The following is an 18,498-nucleotide window of genomic DNA, read 5'->3' as shown; positions in this document are numbered from 1 at the left end:
TTTTTCATAATGAGAGATGGCACTGATACCTGTCTTTTTCTGCATATAATTATGTTTTGGAAGAAAATGTTTCATAGTATATTCAGGCCAGGTATGATGGCTCATGCCTGTAATCCCAGCATTTTGGGAGGCAGAGGCAGGCAGATCACGTGAGGTCAGGAGTTCAAGAACAGCCTGGGCAACATGGTGAAACCCCATCTCTACTAAAAATACAAAAATTAGCCAGGTGTGGTAGCATGCTCCTGTAATCCCAGCTACTCAGGAGGCTGAGGCAGGAGAATCGCTTGAACCCGGGAGGCGGAGGTTGCAATGAGCCAAGATCATACCACTTCATTCCAGCCTGGGTGACAGAGTGAGACTACATCTCAAAAAATAAATAAATAAAAAGAAAATCTTTTATAGTGTATTCAATGTTGTGGAATTATGAGTGGCACTAAAGCAGCCTATATCCACACACAGATACACACACATATGTGTGTATGTATATGTGTCTATAGTATGTTTCCATGGCAGCATTCATGCCATCCTTTCCAATATGCTGTTCCCTTTTCCCTTTTCTAAATCGTGATTCCCCAACCTCAGTGAAGCCTTGATATGACAGGGTTTTCTAGATCGTCTCTCCAGTGTCTGTAATCATGATAAGGTATAGGAATAACAATACTGATAGCTAGCTTATATTGAGAGCTAGCTAGCTCAATATAGTATAATTACATATACACTGATATATAGATATCTTTATCTATTTTCTACTTGAAGAGATTGATGTAAGTTCCTAAGTATTGTATTCTGCCTCTGAGACCACACTACAGAATTCCTACCCTCCACACAGAATTAAACAAATGTGAAAACATGAGAAAAGTAAATTTTAAACTTTAAAAATGCTGCGTGAAGAAGAATTATAATATAAAGTGGAAACAGCCTTGTTAGGCCAATGGTTGTGGCCAATGGTTGTACATTTATTTCAGAAAGTAAGCCAGTATTTAAAAACCTTAAAGAATGTACCTCTGCAACTCGGAGTGAAGATAATATACAATATATTATAAAAGCCTGCACAAGATTTGATTTAAGACGACAAAATTAACAATACAATTGCTAATTTCTCCTTAAATCAGAAATTTTAAGCCTTTTTTTATAGTAGTGATTATACAACTCTGAAGTAATTTTGAAACTTATGCTTAAGATTTAACCAGGGCAGAGGCATATTTCAGCATAAATAATGTTGCCATTATAAACTCTTATCCTTCCTATCTCAACAGGAAATGAGCAATTATTGCTTCATGCTTCAATGCACTGTTTTAAAATACTGTTTAATTTGTTAAAGGTGTGAAACTGTTTAATTTATCTCACACGTTTTTTTAAACAAATACTGATTGGACATGCGCTGCACGCCAGGCTTTGGGCTTGGTACCTCAGGGTTCTCACAGGGGAGGCTGGAAGTGGAAACAAGCACATGTGTAACTGTTGTGTAGACAGTCTAATTGGTAGAAAATCAGCGAACAAAGAAGCAGACAAATTAGAAAATGAACGTAAGGTGATGTGCTAAAAAGAGGGTAGCCATTATGTCAGTGTCCTTCAGAGAAGGTAGCACTCCCTGAGACCGGAATGGCAGAAAGAAGTCCATCCTGCCTAGCCCAGCTTGGACTTGTGGAGAAGCAGGCTGATAAAAGAACCAAATATTGTACATTTTGAAGAAGTTGCCCGCTGACTTGAGAGAGAGGTGTTGCGTTTCAGGTGCTGAATGTCCTTATAAAAAGTTGAATATTTCGAGCATCTCTATCAATACATTTGAATGCTGAGAGCTTTTCCTTCCAGAAGCTCATGTCATTTTCAACACACACTTCTATTTACCTTTATGTAGTTTCTAAAAATTGAAAACCAGAATTGGAGGTTTTTTTAAAAAAAAAGAAAGAAAAAACGGTGAAAATAATTAATTAGGAGCCAGGGCAGTGGCTCATGCCTGTAATCCCAGCACTTTGGGAGGCTGAGGCGGGAGGATCATTTGAGGCCAGGAGTTTGAGACCAGTCTGGCCAACATGGTGAAACCCTGTCTCTACTAAAAATACAACAAGTAGCCAAGTGTGGTGGCGCATGCCTGTAATCCCAGTTACTTGGGAGGCTGAGGCACGAGAATCACTTGCACCCAGGAGGCAGAGGCTGCAGTGAGCCGAGATCATGTCACTGTGCTCCAGCCTAGGCAACAGAGTAAGATTCTGTCTTAAAAACAACAACAACAACAAAATGAATTAGAACAAGACTAGATTTTGAGCTGTGGGATTTTATAGCATGTGTTGTTATTTCATGACCATGCCTCAGTGTTTTGAAATTTAAGGAAACAAGGTCTTTGAAGCAAGTTTAAATATTTTAGAATGAGTACTTTATTAATAAAAGGCAATTGTTCCACTTAAGGTGTCTGTTCTTGATCACATAGGGGTTGTTTTTATTTTCTTTGGATTATCAGCTATTTCAAACTATGGGTTTGGTGGCAATCTGCACACAGAAAATACAGAAATAACATTTCTAAGTTACACGTGAGCCAACTTGGGAAATAAATGTTCCCATGCTATTAGTTTTCATTATTTTGCAAAAGTGCTTTTCTGGGCAATTATATCTTTTTGAAAAACACAACTTTTCCTCCACTGCATACTCACTGGGCTGTCTCTTAGCTCAGGCCCAGTTGTATCCATGTGGCTTCTGCAGCTTATCACCCCCCTTTTTTCCTGACATTGGCAATGGGAAATTGAAAAAAAAAAAGATTGCCTTAGAAACATAGGAAAGAAACTCTAAAGAATGCACTGAAGCCTAGAACTTGGGAAAACCCTTAGCATGCTTAGGTATTTTCAGCGAAGACTCTGAAGCCTTATACCATGGGGTTTGTTTCAGGAACTGCTTTTCTCTGCTGTTTGCGTAGTCATTATTACCCCTTTACCTCTCCTCTGCCTAACACACACCCAGACATCTGATAGTCATTCTCTCCCAGAATTAGTTTTACACAGGTGCAGTATTCCCCATTGCCCCGTATTTCAATAATAATATCTGATAAACTAATATATGTAGTATCAAGGTTTCTGAGGCTACATAATTTTATCCAGCAGCTAAAACTCTGATACCACTTTCTGCTTTATTGGCTTTTTGGCTCTTTGTTCTCATTTTGTGACTTGGAGGATTCAGATAATTTTCGTTTGTAATTTTGAGTTACGGTGCTTGTCTACAATAGTGTTTGATTCTGTTGTTCTTTTAGAACAATTCTCATAGTTGAAGCTTTAGATGCTTTGGAAAGCAGCCTCTTTGGTATCCTTGCCTTTCTTTTCTGCTTCGGCAGTAGCTTGGGTAAAAGGATTAAATTGGGCGGATGTGCTGTGGGATCTTGGTAACATTTTAGAAGCAGGACATGTTCACTTTCCCTTTTCCAATTATTGTTTCCTCTTCTAATTATTGTTCCATGGAGGAGAACTTGAGACAGGAACAATTTAGCATACTTGATTTTCAAATCAAATCTCACTCTCTGGAGGTTCTTCTTGTGCTTTAACTGGAAGTGAGGTTTGGTTTCTGCTTCATTACCTGACATATGAGAAGCAGCCTTAAAGGATAACATAGTCATAAATAATTAAGTCCGGTCATAAGGGCATTTGGCATTTCTTGCCTGTTTTCTGTGAATAGTCATTTGGCTCATACAGAGTTCCCGTAGAAAGTGACAGAAGGTTAGAGAGCAGGTGTGTCTGCTGTAAAGGCCACTCAGGAGGGTGCATAACCCCCTAGTGGGAAGGACATGCCATCTAGAGAAAGAGTCCCTGGGCTGGAGTGCCAAACATGTCACAGACCAACTGTACGATCTCTCTAAGCCTTACCTGTCTCCTCACTTTTAAAATGAAGGCCACAGCAGCTTCTTTGTAGGTTGTGACCCACTGACTTATGACTGTTCATACCCTGGCACACACACATGGTGAATACATGTTTGTACTTATTACTTAAGTGCTAAGGGTAAGAGAAATGCTGTATTATTCTCCGTATGCTCATATGGCTAGGAATGGATAACCTGGACTTTTTTTGTTCCCCATAACGGCAGTAGTCGGGTGTCCCACGTATCTCTTTCTAGTTCTCAGCCTCTGCCTTTTTCTATGATTTTTCTCATAGAGGTCTCTCCCACTTCTTTTGATTCTACCATATCCAATAATTCTCAGGTCTGTATTTTGGCTTGAAACTATTTTATGTTTCAATCACATATTTCTAGCTCTCTTTTGGACATTTTCACATTAGGTGTTGTGCCCCACCTCAATCCCAACCTCTTTAAAAGTGACTATTTCACCCCATCCCACCAAATTCAAATCTCAACCTTTTGAAGTTCTTCTCATATTTTAACTAGAATTCAGATTCTTTGATTAATTACCTGATATATGAGTGTCTTGAAGAGGCATGTGTTCATAAATAACTTAGTCTGGTTCTGCTTTCTGAATTCTTGCTTTCTGTTAATGATACCACTCTGTATAGGTAGTCGCCCTTAGAAGTGCAGAATTGCCTTTGATGCCTTACCCTTTCTCAGGTTGTTATCAGTTACCAGATCCAGCTGATTCCTTCTTCTTCAGTCACGCACGTGTCTGTTTCTCTATCGCCACCTCTGCCGACCTGGTCATGCCACAGCATGACTCATCTCCTCAAACCTCATATCTCTTCCCTTTAGTGCATCTTGTTACCTGCCCAGGCTGCCAAAATGCACAGTTTTGATTGTGTATTTTGATTTGTGCATTTTGATTGTGCATTGTGAAAATGCACATTTCTTCCTCCCTCCCTCCTTCCTCCCTTCTTCTTTCCTTCTTTCTCTCTCTCTTTCTCCTTCTTTCATTTGTTCATTCTTTCGTTCTCCTGACAGAGTCTCGCTCTGTCACCCAGGCTGGAGTGCAGTGGCGCAATCTCGGCTCACTACAAGTGATTCTCGCACCTCAGCCTCCTGAGTAGCTGGGATTAAGGGCGTGCACCACCCCACCTGGATAATTTTTGTATTTTTGGTAGAGACGGGGTTTCACCATATTGGCCAGGCTGATCTTGAACTCCTGGCTTCAAGCAATCTGCCCGCCTTGGCTTCCCAAAGTGCTGGGATTACAGGCGTGAGCCATCACACTCAGCTGATTGTGTTTTCTTTCCTGCTGTGGATCCTTCTATGATTCTGCATTGTCCAGAATGTACAGTCTAACATCCTTAACTTTGCATTTAATTCCCTTCCCTGAGCTTCGAGCTCCAGTCAGATTTGCTTACTCAGGGTATCCAACTCACTTTCCACTTTCATCCCTGCTCTGCTTTTGTTTGCACCAGTTTATCCTCGCTTGGGCATCATCCAGGAACCAAGAGAAGGTCAGTGAGCCCAGGCTGTAGTGGGCGAGGGGAGAGTGGCAGGGCTGAGGTTAGAGAGGGGCAGGATCTGCGTAGTCAGGCCCTTGTACGTTGCATTGCAATTTCTTCTTTCTCCCAAGAGCAAGAGATGGGGCTTTAAGCAGCTGTGGGAAGTGATCTGAGGGACAGTGTTGAAAGATCACTCTGATGGCAGAGTGGAGAGTAAATTAGAGGACAAGAGTGGAAGCAGGGGGACCAGTTAAAGCTGATGGCAGTGGCTCAGGCCAGGTCCATTGGTGCATGGACTAAAGTGTTGGCCGAGAAGATGGAGGGAAATGGACAAATATGACATTATATTTTGGAGGCAGGACAGATGGGACTTCGATAGGATGTGGAAGGGGAAGGGAATGGAAGCATCAAGGGTAACTTCTGGGCCTGTAGTTTTAGTAGTGGGGAGACAGAGAGAGAGCAGCCTCCCGGGGGGTGGATTTGAGCGGGATCTACTTGCGGCATCACCTTACATGTAGGAAGCCCTTCAAATGTGAGCTTGTAGCATTTTCATATGTGTATGCTGCGCCCTGTGACTAAATTATAAGTTCCCTGAAAGCTGAAGGCCATGCTTTAAACTACTTTTTCCAACAGCAATAACTTAGTGCCCTAGCCTTGAAAGATGGTGAATAAATATTAAATTGATGGATAGAAACTGTTCCACTCTTTTTTTGGTATCATCTGTAAGTCCTAATTATTTGAAGTATGCAGTGAAAGGAATTGGGGAAATTTTCATTGTCGTAGGTCATAAATAAATAATGAGGCTTTTCTATTTCCCTTTGCATTTGGAATTATTTAAAATGAGTAAGACGTGGGATTCCATCTGTGCCGTGTCTCCAGGCCAGCTCCCCACTTGCCGATGCCTCCTCTCTCCGCAGATGTGCACTGGGAACTACACCTTTGTTCCTTACATGATAACTCCACATAACAAAGTCTACTGCTGTGACAGCAGCTTCATGAAGGGGTTGACAGAGCTCATGCAACCGAACTTCGAGCTGCTTCTTGGACCCATCTGCTTACCTCTTGTGGATCGTTTTATTCAACTTTTGAAGGTGGCACAAGCAAGTTCTAGGTAAAGTTTAATTAATAATGCCATTTGGTGATGACAATAAAGTGTTATTCTACATCTTTATTTGTGCATGATATCAGGTGCTCCTGAGATATCAGTATACAGCTAAGAACTAGGGGGAAAATGTTTATTATCCTCCAAGTAGATAAAATAGATGCCACATAATACATTTTATTCACAGAACAGCAACTTGAAATCAGCAAAAAATTAAAAAGTCTACTAACCGCTTTATAGTGATGGTAGAACTAAAAATATATACAAAGCAAGTACAGAAACAATACCAGGATAAATGTCCAGGGACTTCTAGTGTAAGGGCAAGAACAATTCAACTTTAATTAACTCTTAACTCTAATTGTTCTTTCAGTGAAGAACAATTATTTATGTTAATAAATGATAGGCTGAGTCAGGAAGTTAAGGTTATATTATGTTCAAATCATAGGTACATCACGGCCAGTGCCGTGGCTCATGCCTGTAATCCCAGCATTTTGGGAGGCCGAGGTGGGCAGATCACTTGAGATCAGGAGTTCGAGACCAGCCTGGCCAACATGCCGAAACCCTGTCTCTACCAAAAATACAAAAATTAGCCAGGTGTGGTGGTGCACACCTGTAATCCCAGCTACTCACAAGGCTGAGGCAAGAGAATTGCTTGAACCCAGGAGATGGAGGTTGCAGTGAGCCAAGATCATGCCAGTATACTCTAGTCTGGGCAACAGAGTGAGACTCTGTCTCAAAAACAAAAACAACAAACAAACAAAAAATCATAGGTACATCTAATTTATTTAGAACAATTTGTACTGGAAACAGTAAAATGGAAAACAAAGTTTTGGCATTTTAAGTGGTTTTTTGCAGGAAAATTTATTAATATGGAGTACCTTTACCTTTAATTCTTTCTGAAGGCAGAGTAATAAAAGAAATACATTGGCTTCTAAATTTCTTAATAATGCCAGATATGTAAGATATTTATTTAGGCATCTGAATGAACTGAAAACTACAAATGCTTTATAGCTAATGCTGCAATATCATTCATGTCTTTATTAAAATTATTGCTTTTCATTGAAATTGTTTCTAATGTCAAACTCTTTGAAATGTGTGTGTTTTTACCAGCCAGTACTTCCGGGAATCTATACTCAATGACATCAGGAAAGCTCGTAATTTATACACTGGTAAAGAATTGGCAGCTGAGTTGGCAAGAATTCGGCAGCGAGTAGATAATATCGAAGTCTTGACAGCAGATATTGTCATAAATCTGTTACTTTCCTACAGAGATATCCAGGTGAGAAGATGTTTAAAGTGAAATCTTTGTTGTGTAGCATGTTGGAGGGATAAGGGAGTATTAACCTCAAATTTCAGTTTGCTGGTAAGCAGTTCATGTTACTACACGTAATTTTTTATTGACTCTCTTAAGCTTTCCATCCTATAATTTTATGATGAATGAAAAAGACTCATGTGAGTTAACCATCAGTGATTGTGAAAGACTTGTATGGTAAAGGCCTGACTTTTTCCTCCAAAAGAACAAAAAGAAAAATCTGCTGGCACAGCGAACCTGTGGACACAGTCTATTCTACTGTTAGCCTCAGGCACACCTGTCAGTGAAAGCTTTGTTTTGGCAAATAGCAGACATTTTTAGAGCTTTCTGGACATACCTTTTATCCCTTGAAATTGTATTGCTTGAAATTGATAGTGCTGAATCTAACTCGCCTGAAGGAAAAAATATGTAATTGATTACCTACAGAAATAACTTTAAAAATATGTAATGTAAAACACACTAACAGGTTATATCATTTTTATTGACATGTCTTAAAATTTTAAAAATAGGGTAAGTGGAATAAAATCCTCTCCAAGTTAGGGATTTGCTCTTAGGTTTTAATAGTAAAATTTAAATGACATCTGGTTTCTCCTTTCCATTCCTAGCCTTTCAGGTCTGTGTAAAGGCTTCATGTGCTCAAGACAGACTCACATCCATGGAGGGCTGTGGCACATAGGATCCTGTGGCTAGAGTGCTTACTCATGTGACATGAAACTGTGTTGCTACTTGTAACAGAAGTTCAACCCATTGCCTCATGTCCTTGACATTTTTATTTCCCTGAAATTGTTAGAACACTGCATACCGGGAATCTGGCTCTATGGGGAAATAAATCACCCATATTTAGACAGTAGAGCACTATCATGCTTGGTGTTTTTGTTTCTTTTGCTTTTTTAGTTTTTGTTCAACATGGTAACTGTATGTTTCTAATGTTTTTATATATACGATCTAAACCTTTTAGAAGAAAAACAACAAAAACTGTTTATTCTAGGTTCTTCAAAGTGTTCTGTGGATTCTAGTGTCTTTTTAATGTGTTTCTTGAATTCAGATATCTGGTTGTCAAAAGACACGTTATTGTGAGAATTTTCTCCTAATGGTTTAATTCTGTGCTATTCTCATCTAATTTGAAAGGACTATGATTCTATTGTGAAGCTGGTAGAGACTTTAGAAAAACTGCCAACCTTTGATTTGGCCTCCCATCACCATGTGAAGTTTCATTATGCATTTGCACTGAATAGGTAAGAAGAAAAAGTTCCCTTCCAGAATGCGTTAACATATTATTGTGTAACCTGCAATTCTTTACAGAGAATGTGTTCACTGCAGCATTGCAAGAAGTCCCTATTAAAATGTAATATTAGCATATCTGCTTCAGCCCCATGAAATATAGGAAGCATGCATTCTCATTTTTTTCTGATTTATTTTTCAGTAAAAAAAAAGTCGCACACTGTTGGTATATTTAAATTCTTACAGGTTTTCTGCTCTGTCAAAGTTTGTATTTGCTATTCATATTTTTTAGAATTGTAAAAGTTACATGAATATGATGTTATCTTTAAGCAAATACACTCAACACCAGATGGTCATTCACACAAAAGTTTTCACTAGAGTAAGGATGGTTATGTCTAGGTGAACATAGTGTTAGATAGTTATTACCAAGGATAAAAAGGAATTTCTTGGACAGAAGATTTGAAGTAGTAATTGAGAATAGAAATGATACCTTTTTTATAATAGCTTTATTGAAACATATTTCACAGGCTGGGCGTGGTGGCTCACTCCTGCAATCCTAGCACTTTGAGAGGCCAAGGTGGTCGGATTGCCTGAGCTCAGGAGTTCGAGAGCAGCCTGGGCAACACGGTGAAACCCCGTCTCTACTAAAATACAAAAAAATTAGCCAGGTGTGGCAGTGTGCACCTGTAGTTCCGGCTACTCGGGAGGCTGAGGCAGGAGAATCGCTTGAACCTGGGAGGCAGAAGTTGCAGTGAGCCAAGATCATGCCACTGCCCTCCAGCCTGGGCAACAGAGCAAGACTCTGTCTCCAAACAAACAAACTAAATATATTTCATCAAAACAATAAATTTTAAAACATTTTCATCACTCCACAAGGAAACCCTGTACCCATTAGCAGCCCCCCTTCCATTTCCCTCCCAAATCCCCCAACTCTAGGCAACCACGAATCTACTTTCAGTCTTTACAGATTTGCCTATTCTGGACATTTCATATAAATGGAATCATACAGTATGTGGTCCCTTGTGACTGACCTCTTTCACTTAGCATAATATTTTCAAGGTCTAAGGAATGATAACTCTTATAGAATTTTTATCTGGTTTTGTGAACTGTCTACACATACTATTTTAAAGCATGCTACATAAAGCAACTTCCTTAGATAATCAGTTAGTCACACGTAGAAATCAAGCAGTTCTTGGGTTTGATTTGATTTTTGGTATCATCTGTGAATGAGTTTGCTAAGTTTTGGAGCAAAAGCCATTGAAACCTAAGGTCAGGGTTTTGTCCCTACTTGGCTTTATTTACTCTACCCTATTCAAAGACACAGACTACAACTCTAATCTCGTTTCACCAACTTGAACCTGCATATAGGCTGCAGGGAAATTGGAAGGATTGTGGATGAGTAAGTACAAATCCATCACCATTATTAACACAGAAACTCAAAAGAAATCCTTGTTAGACCTAGTAGACATACAATGGGATAAAACAAAAAATTAGGCTTAGGACAGAGGTTTACAGAGGACTCTCAAAATCTAATTGTTTCTGTCCTGGCAAATTTCTCTAATATGAATCAACATGTTAAATAGGGTTTTTAAAAAAGAATTGATCTATATTGCTTCTGTAATGTATATTGAAACAACAATGTTTTCTGCCTTAGGAGAAATCTCCCTGGTGACAGAGCAAAAGCTCTTGATATTATGATTCCCATGGTGCAAAGCGAAGGACAAGTTGCTTCAGATATGTATTGCCTAGTTGGTCGAATCTACAAAGATATGTTTTTGGACTCTAATTTCACGGACACTGAAAGCAGAGACCATGGAGCTTCTTGGTAAGTAAATAGTATATAAATGAGCTACTTACTTAGTAAATCCATGGCATAAAAAAGTATTTGCAAATGAGAGTGTTAAAGTATTATTATAATCCATAAGATTGTGTATTATGAACTAAACCTTAGATTTTATTTTATTTTATTTTATTTTTGAGATGGAGTCTTGTTCTGTTGCCCAGGCTGGAGTGCAGTCATGTGATCTTAGCTCACTGCAACCTCTGCCTCCCAGGTTCAAGCGATTCTCCTGCCTCAGCCTCTCCAGTAACTGGGATTACAGGTGCCCGCCACCACGCCCACTAATTTTTACATTTTTAGGAGAGACGGGTTTTGCCCTGTTGGCCAGGCTGGTCTTGAATTCCTGACCTCAGGTGATCCAACTGCCTCTGCCTCCTCAAGTGCTGGGATTACAGGCGTGAGCCACCGGGCCAATCTTAGAGTTTATAACTTTAGTAAATAATTTGATGAAATTCATTTAACATAGTATAGTAAATTGGGATAAATAGATGAAAAGATAATTTAAGAAATATAATTTTAAAAAGATATTTTAAATAAGTAATATAAATAATAAAATATAATTTTGTAGAAAAATTTATATAAAGACAGTTTAAAAGACCTGAATGAAAGGAAAAAATATACCGAGTTTGTAGATGAGAAGGCTTGATATTTTAAAGATTTTAATTCCCCCCAGCAGGGGTTTTCATGTGATTTGACAAACCAATTCCAAAATTTATTTGAAAGAATAAAGGACTGAGAATAGGCAAAGCAATTCTGGAAAAGCACAAGGTGGAAGGACTTGCTCCACCAGTTAACAAGACTCATTATAAAGCTGTAATGATTAAGATATTGCAGTATGGCTATAGGCATAGACAAACAAAGCACTGGAATACAAGAGACAGCCTGGAACAGACTAAGATATACATGAGTCTAGATTTATGGCAGAATCAGCTTCATGAGCTGTAAAGGAAAGGATGGAATCTGTAGTAATGATACTGGGAAAATTTCTTTATCTGCTTGGAAAAATAAAATAAAGTTCTATCCCCATTTTAAGCCATGCACAAAAAAATGAAATCTAAGTGAGTTAAATACCAAAATATGAAAAAATACTTTAGAAAAATATTTTTAGAATAAAGTGTACAAATTATGTATGACTATTGGATAAGCAAAGATTTCTTTCTTTTTTTTTTGAGACAAGGTCTTGCTCCGTCACTCAGGCTGTAGTGTAGTGGTGCAATCTCGGCCCACTGCCACCTCCACCTCCTGAGCTCAAGTGATCTTCCCACCTCAGCCTCCTGAGTAGCTGGGACCACAGGTGTGTGCCACCACGCCTGGCTAATTGTTTGTATTTTTGGTAGAGAGAGGGTTTCACCATGTTGCCCTGACTGGGGCAAAGATTTCTTAAACAAGGCTTAAAAACGCCATATACCATAAAAGATAAGACTGGGAAAATGGTCTACATGAAAATTGGCTTCTGCTCATCAAAGTAGTAGCTTTTGGAAACAGCAGAGTAGATTCTATTGTGCTTATCTTCCTGTTGATAACAATTATAAATGTTGGAAAAAAGTTGGAAAGCACTGAAGAGTGATTAAAAGTAGCTAGAAACTGGAAAGGTTTTCATCCTTGGATGAAGGGCACCGCATAGGATAAACTCCACATTTAAATGGCTTTTCCCTCAAGACATTCCCTGGTCTGCAGGGAGCAGGACAGATAGAACTCTAGCAGGAAATCACAGTCTTATTGGCCTGAGAGTGAGTTTGAGGCTGCCGGAGGACCTGGACATTGAGTGGGATAAGCCTTTGTGTGAACAAGGTGAACCACCAATAATTTATTTACCTTTTATTAAAAAACTACATACTCTTAAGAGGAGGAGAACAAATCCAAACTCTCTACAGCTTATCATCCAAAATGTCTAATACACCATAAAAATTACTAAGCAACCTGGGTGTGGTGGCATGTTCCCATTGTTCCAGCTACTCAGGAGGCTGAGGTGCGAAGATGGCTTGAGCCTAGGAGTTCAAGACCTGCCTGGACAATATAAAAATACCTTGTCTTATTAAAAAAAAGAAAAAAAGAAAAAAAAGAAAGAAAAACTCTCAACTACTAAAGTGGTGAAGAAATAGGAAAGTGTGATTCATAATTAAGAAAAAAATTATTCATAGAAATAAACCCATAGATAAAACAGAGTTTAGAATTACCAGACAAGGACATAAAAATAACAATGATAATTATATCAAAGAATCTACTTGAAAAGATGAACATAATGGGTGAAAATATGAGGAATTATAGGAGATATTTGGAAACTGGAAATAACCAAATGGGAGTTCTAGAACTGAAAAGTACAATATCTGAAGTTGAAATGTCATCAAATCAGATTAACAGCAGATAGGACACAATACGATAAAAGAGCAATAAACTTCAAAACAGATTATTAGAAATCATTGAAATTGAAGCAGAGGAAAGAAAGAGATGAAGTCATTAATAATTCCAATGACCTGTGGCATTTAGTGGTCTAAATACTTTTTTTTTTTTTTTTGAGACGAATCTTGCTCTGTTGCCCAGGCTGGAGTTCAGTGGTGCAATCTCACCTCACTGCAACCTCTGCCTCCGGGGTTCAAGCGATTCTCGTGCCTCAACCTCCCAAGTAGCTGGGATTACAGGCATGCCCCACCATGCCCAGCTACTTTTTGTATTTTTAGTTGAGTCCGGGTTTCCCCATGTTGTCCAGGCTGGTGTCAAACTCCTGACCTCAAGTGATCCACCTGCCTCGGCCTCCTGAAGTGCTGGGATTACAGGTGTGAGCCACCGTGCCCAGCCTTGAGTGGTCCAGATACTTTTAATTAGAGTCCCAGGAGAGGAGAGATATACTGTTGCAGGGATAATAGTTGAAGAATTAGTGGTCAAATATTATCCAAATCTGTTCAAACAAACAAACAAATAAAAAACAGCTCACAGATCTAGGAAGCTCAGCAAAACCCAAGGAGCATAAATATCAAAGAAAATTATCTCTTGGCACATCATAGTAAAATTGGTGAAAAACAGAAATACAAGAAAAGGTCATAAATGCAGCCTAAGAAAGAAGATACATCAGGGGAAAGAGTGAGTGCTGAAGGAAGCCAAAAGATAATGGAATAACATTAAAGTGCTGAAAGAAAAAAACCCAATCAAGCAAGAACTCTATATCCACTGATAATGTCTTTAAAATATGGGGGTGAAGTAAAGACAATTCTAGATACATCAAAACTGAGATAATTTGTTGCCAGCAGAACTTCACTACAAGAAATGTTAAAGTCTTTAGGCTGAAGGGAAATAAAACCAAATGGATCTATAGGAAAAAGCATATAGCACTGGAAATGATAAATATATGAATAAATATAAAAGATACCATCAACAAAGAAATCACAGGGAACAATGCATGTAACCAATATAGGATATGTATTCAGTATATATAAATAACTCCTCAAAATATCTTTAAGAAAAAGAGATTAAAAAATGCATAGGATATGAACAGGTTATTCACAAAAATGGAATCACAAATGGCCAATAAACATATTTTTGAAACTTATAAAAAGATTATTTTTATACTACTTTACACTATTCAGATTAACCAAAATTTATAAATCTGACAATATCAATTGTTAGCCAGGATGTTAGAGAAATGTGAGTCCTAATGCCTGCTGGTTGTGCCATAAATTTCTATACGCACTTAAAAGATTTTGGCATTATTGAGGAAAGTTGAGAACTTGCCTCCCCTAGGTCCAGCAGATTTATATACCCTAGAGTAAATCTTAGACATTTCTCTACATTAAAGTTTTAACATAAAAAAAAACTTTAAAAAAGTTGAGCAAAGTAAGCAAGTGGCAGAAGGATACAGAGTACAGTATCATTTATAGAATGTTTAAAAACAGTCATAGAGATTTAGTATAAGTATAGATGCACGGATGGGCATCATAAACTCCAAATTCAGTATAATGGTTACCAGTAGGGAGGAAGAAGTAGAAAGAGATCCTGGAGTGATTCACATGCAATTTCAAGTATATTAAAAATATTTTATTTCTTAAGCTGAGTAGGAAGTATATCGGGGTGTTGCTTATATTATTCTTTTGTACTTAGTATGATAGGGAATGTACCTATCACATTCCCAAAATAGTCCTTGATTTTAAAAAAAAATTCAAGGAGGCCAACTTAGTTTAGGAATTCCTGTATGGTAGCTATAATTTTTTTTTTAAGTTTTGAAACAGAAATCTTAGCTTTTAGAAATCTTAGATCATTTTCACACTTTAGAGGGACTGTTTAGTTCTTTTATGTGCTGCCAAAACAGAATACAAGAGACTGGGTAATTTACAATTAATACACATGTACTTCTCATAGTCCTGGAGGCTGGGAAGTCCAAGATCAAGGGGCTAGCATCTGTCAAGGGCCTTCTTGTTACATCAACTCATGGCAGAAGGGGAAAGAGAGAGTGGGCAAATGGGGCTGAACATGTTCTTTTAAAAGGAGCCCACTCCCTCTATACAGAACCGATTTCTGATGTAACAGCATTAATCCTTTCATGGGGTCAGAGCCCTCGTGGCCTTTCACCTTTCATTAGGCTCCATCTCCTAACACTATTGCATTGGGGATTAAGCTTCCAATACATGCTTTTGGGGAGAAACATTCAAACCATAGCAAGAACTGAAAGTAGGGTAATGGGGAGAAGGAGAAACACTTGGGGACAGTAGTTTCCTAGATCCTTTAGGGAAGCTTTGGTCTGGACTTCTAAATTTGTACTATGAATTTTTATTACACTGCTAAGAGTTTCACAGTTTATCTTAACCAAATTTATTTTTAAAACTTTTATTTTTTAGAAATAGTGTCTTGCTCTGTTGTCTAGGCTGGAGTACAGTGACACAATCATAACTCACTGAAGTCTGGAACTCCTGGCCTCAGGCAGTCCTCCTGCCTCAGTCTCCTGAGCAGATGGGACAACAGGTGCACGCTATAACACTTGGCTAATTTTTGAATTTTTTGCAGAGATGCGGTCTTGCTGTGTTGGCCAGGTTGGTCTTGAACTCCTGGCCTCAAGTGATCCTCCTGCCTCAGCCTCCCAGAATGATGGGATTATAGGCATGAGCCACTGTACTTGGCCTTAACCAAGTTTTTTTTTTTTCTGCTATTACAAAAGAGGAGTGTAATTGTGCAGCCCTTTTATTATCCTGATGTTTACACTTTATGAAAATTCTTAGTTGTGGGAGATTTAGAATCAGATATTTGAGAAGCATTATGCCCAGTATAAATGCTTTCGTATGTGACAATGAAATGCATAGGTAATCCAAAAAGGCCTGGTTTTCAAGGTGAATGAATTAAGATAAAAAACATCTCCTATGAAGTTAGAATGCATTGTGTACAAGGATAAAATAGAAGTGTTTTTCCATTTGAAAACAAAATAATTTAGAAGACTGAGAGCTTTCAAGGTCGCATAAAGTTCAGTTAAGGAGCAGAGTTTTTTCTGGTTTTGTTTTTGTTTCAATTTTCTGTACTTACAAATTCTGGCTCTTTTATTTTAATAATTCCCATTTAGCCTAGGAACATTAACTGCCTCTCAAAAGAGCTTTGTGTTCAAGGTCTTCAGGTCAAATTGAAGATGTCAGGATTTTTGTGATTTCATTTTAAGCTATCTTATTTATTTTCTATTAAGAACAGAAAATGGTGTTAGAGCTCAAAGATTTCTAGATTTTTTTTTTAAATTATACTTTAAGTTCTGGGATACATGTCCAGAATGTGCAGTTTTGTTACATAGGTATATATATATGCCATGGTGGTTTGCTGCACCCATCAACCCGTCATCTACATTAGGTATTTCTTCTAATGCTATGCCTCCCCTAGCCCCCTACCCACCAACAGGTCTCAGTGTGTGATGTTCCCCTCCCTGTGTCCATGTGTTCTCATTGTTCAACACCCACTTATGAGTGAGAACATGCGGTGTTTGGTTTTCTGTTCCTGTGTTAGTTTGCTGAGAATTATGGTTTCCAGCTTCATCCATGTACCTGCAAAGGACATGAACTCACCCTTTTTTATGGCTGCATACTATTCCATGGTGTATATGTGCCACATTTTCTTTATCCAGTCTATCATTGATGGGCATTTGGGTTGGGTCCAAGTCTTTGCTATTATGAACAGTGCTGCAATAAACATGTGTGTGCATGGGTCTTTATAGTAGAATGATTTATAATCCTTTGGGTATATACCAATAATGGGATTGCTGGGTCAAACGGTATTTCTGGTTCTAGATCCTTGAGGAATCGCCACACTGTCTTCCACAATGGTTGAACTAATTTACACTCCCACTGACAGTGTAAAAAGTTCTTATTTCTCCACACCTTCTCCAGCATCTGTTGTTTCTTGACTTTTTAATGATCACCGTTCTAACTGGCATGAGATGGTATCTCATTTTGGTTTTGATTGGCGTTTTGTAATGACCAGTGATAATGAGCTTTTTGTCATATGTTTGTTGGCCGCATAAATGTCTTCTTTTGAGAAGTGTCTGTTCATATCTTTCACCCACTTTTTGATGGGATTGTTTTTTTTCTGGTAAATTTGTTTAAGTTCCTTGTAGATTCTGGATATTAGCCCTTTGTCAAATGGATAGATAGCAAAAATTTTCTCCCATTCTGTAGGTTTCCTGTTCATTCTGATGGTAGTTTCTTTTGCTGTGCAGAAGCTCTTTTGTTTAATTAGATCCCATTTGTCTATTTTGGCTTTTGTTGCCATTGCTTTTGGTGTTTTAGTCATGAAGTCTTTGCTCATACCTATGTCCTGCATGGTATTGCCTAGGTTTTCTTCTAGGGTTTTTATGGTGTTAGGTCTTACATTTAAGTCTTTAATCCATCTTGAGTTAATTTTTGTATAAGGTGTAAGGAAGGGGTCCAGTTTCAGCTTTCTGCATATGGCTAGCCAGTTTACCCAACACCATTTATTAAATAGGGAATTCTTTCCCCGTTACTTGTTTTTGTCAGGTTTGTCAAAGATCAGATGGTCGGAGATGTATGGTGGTATTTCTGAGGCCTCTGTTGTGTTCCATTGGTCTATGTATCTGTTTTGGTATCAGTACCATGATGTTTTGGTTACTGTAGCCTTGTAGTATAGTTTGAAGTCAGGTAGCATGATGCCTCCAGCTTTGTTCTTTTTGTTTAAGATTGTCTTGGCTATATGGGCTCTTTTTTGGTTCCATCTGAAGTTTAAAGTAGTTTTTTCTAATTCTGTGAAGAATGTCAATGGTAGCTTAATGGGGATAATATTGAATCTATAAATTACTTTGGGCAGTATGGCCATTTTCATGATATTGATCCTTCCTATCCATGAGCATGGAATGTTTTTCCATTTGTTTGTGCCCTCTCTTATTTCCTTGAGCAGTGGTTTGTAGTTCTCCTTGAAGAGGTCCTTCACATCCCTTGTAAATTGTATTCCTAGGTATTTTATTCTCTTTGTGGCAATTGTGAATGGGAGTTCACTCATGATTTGGCTCTCTGTTTGTCTATTATTGGTGAATAGGAATGCTTGTGATTTTTGCTCATTGATTTTGTATCCTGAGACTTTGCTGAAGTTGCTTACCAGCTTAAGGAGATTTTGGGCTGAGACGATGGGGTTTTCTAAATATACAATCATGTCATCTGCAAACAGAGACAATTTGACTTCCGCTCTTCCTATATGAATATCCTTTCTTTCTTTTTCTTC

General features: G+C 38.3%; 1 protein-coding gene across 10 annotated transcripts in view; it reads left to right on the top strand.

The window, feature by feature from the left end:
* MAP3K5 (mitogen-activated protein kinase kinase kinase 5) overlaps window positions 1-18,498 on the top strand; it is a 236,046-nt gene that overhangs the window by 88,161 nt on the left and 129,387 nt on the right. For all 10 annotated transcript variants that reach the window (XM_017010875.2, XM_047418784.1, NM_001438058.1 and 7 more), the window contains 4 exons: window positions 6,249-6,442; window positions 7,544-7,712; window positions 8,874-8,980; window positions 10,621-10,791. In XM_017010875.2, coding sequence (XP_016866364.1) covers window positions 6,249-6,442; window positions 7,544-7,712; window positions 8,874-8,980; window positions 10,621-10,791 — 641 coding nt within the window. The remainder of the gene's footprint in view (window positions 1-6,248; window positions 6,443-7,543; window positions 7,713-8,873; window positions 8,981-10,620; window positions 10,792-18,498) is intronic.

This window comes from Homo sapiens, chromosome 6 (genome assembly GCF_000001405.40).
Source record: "Homo sapiens chromosome 6, GRCh38.p14 Primary Assembly".
NCBI classification, from domain to species: Eukaryota; Metazoa; Chordata; class Mammalia; order Primates; family Hominidae; genus Homo; species Homo sapiens.
This window is presented reverse-complemented; position numbering and strand designations above follow the sequence as displayed.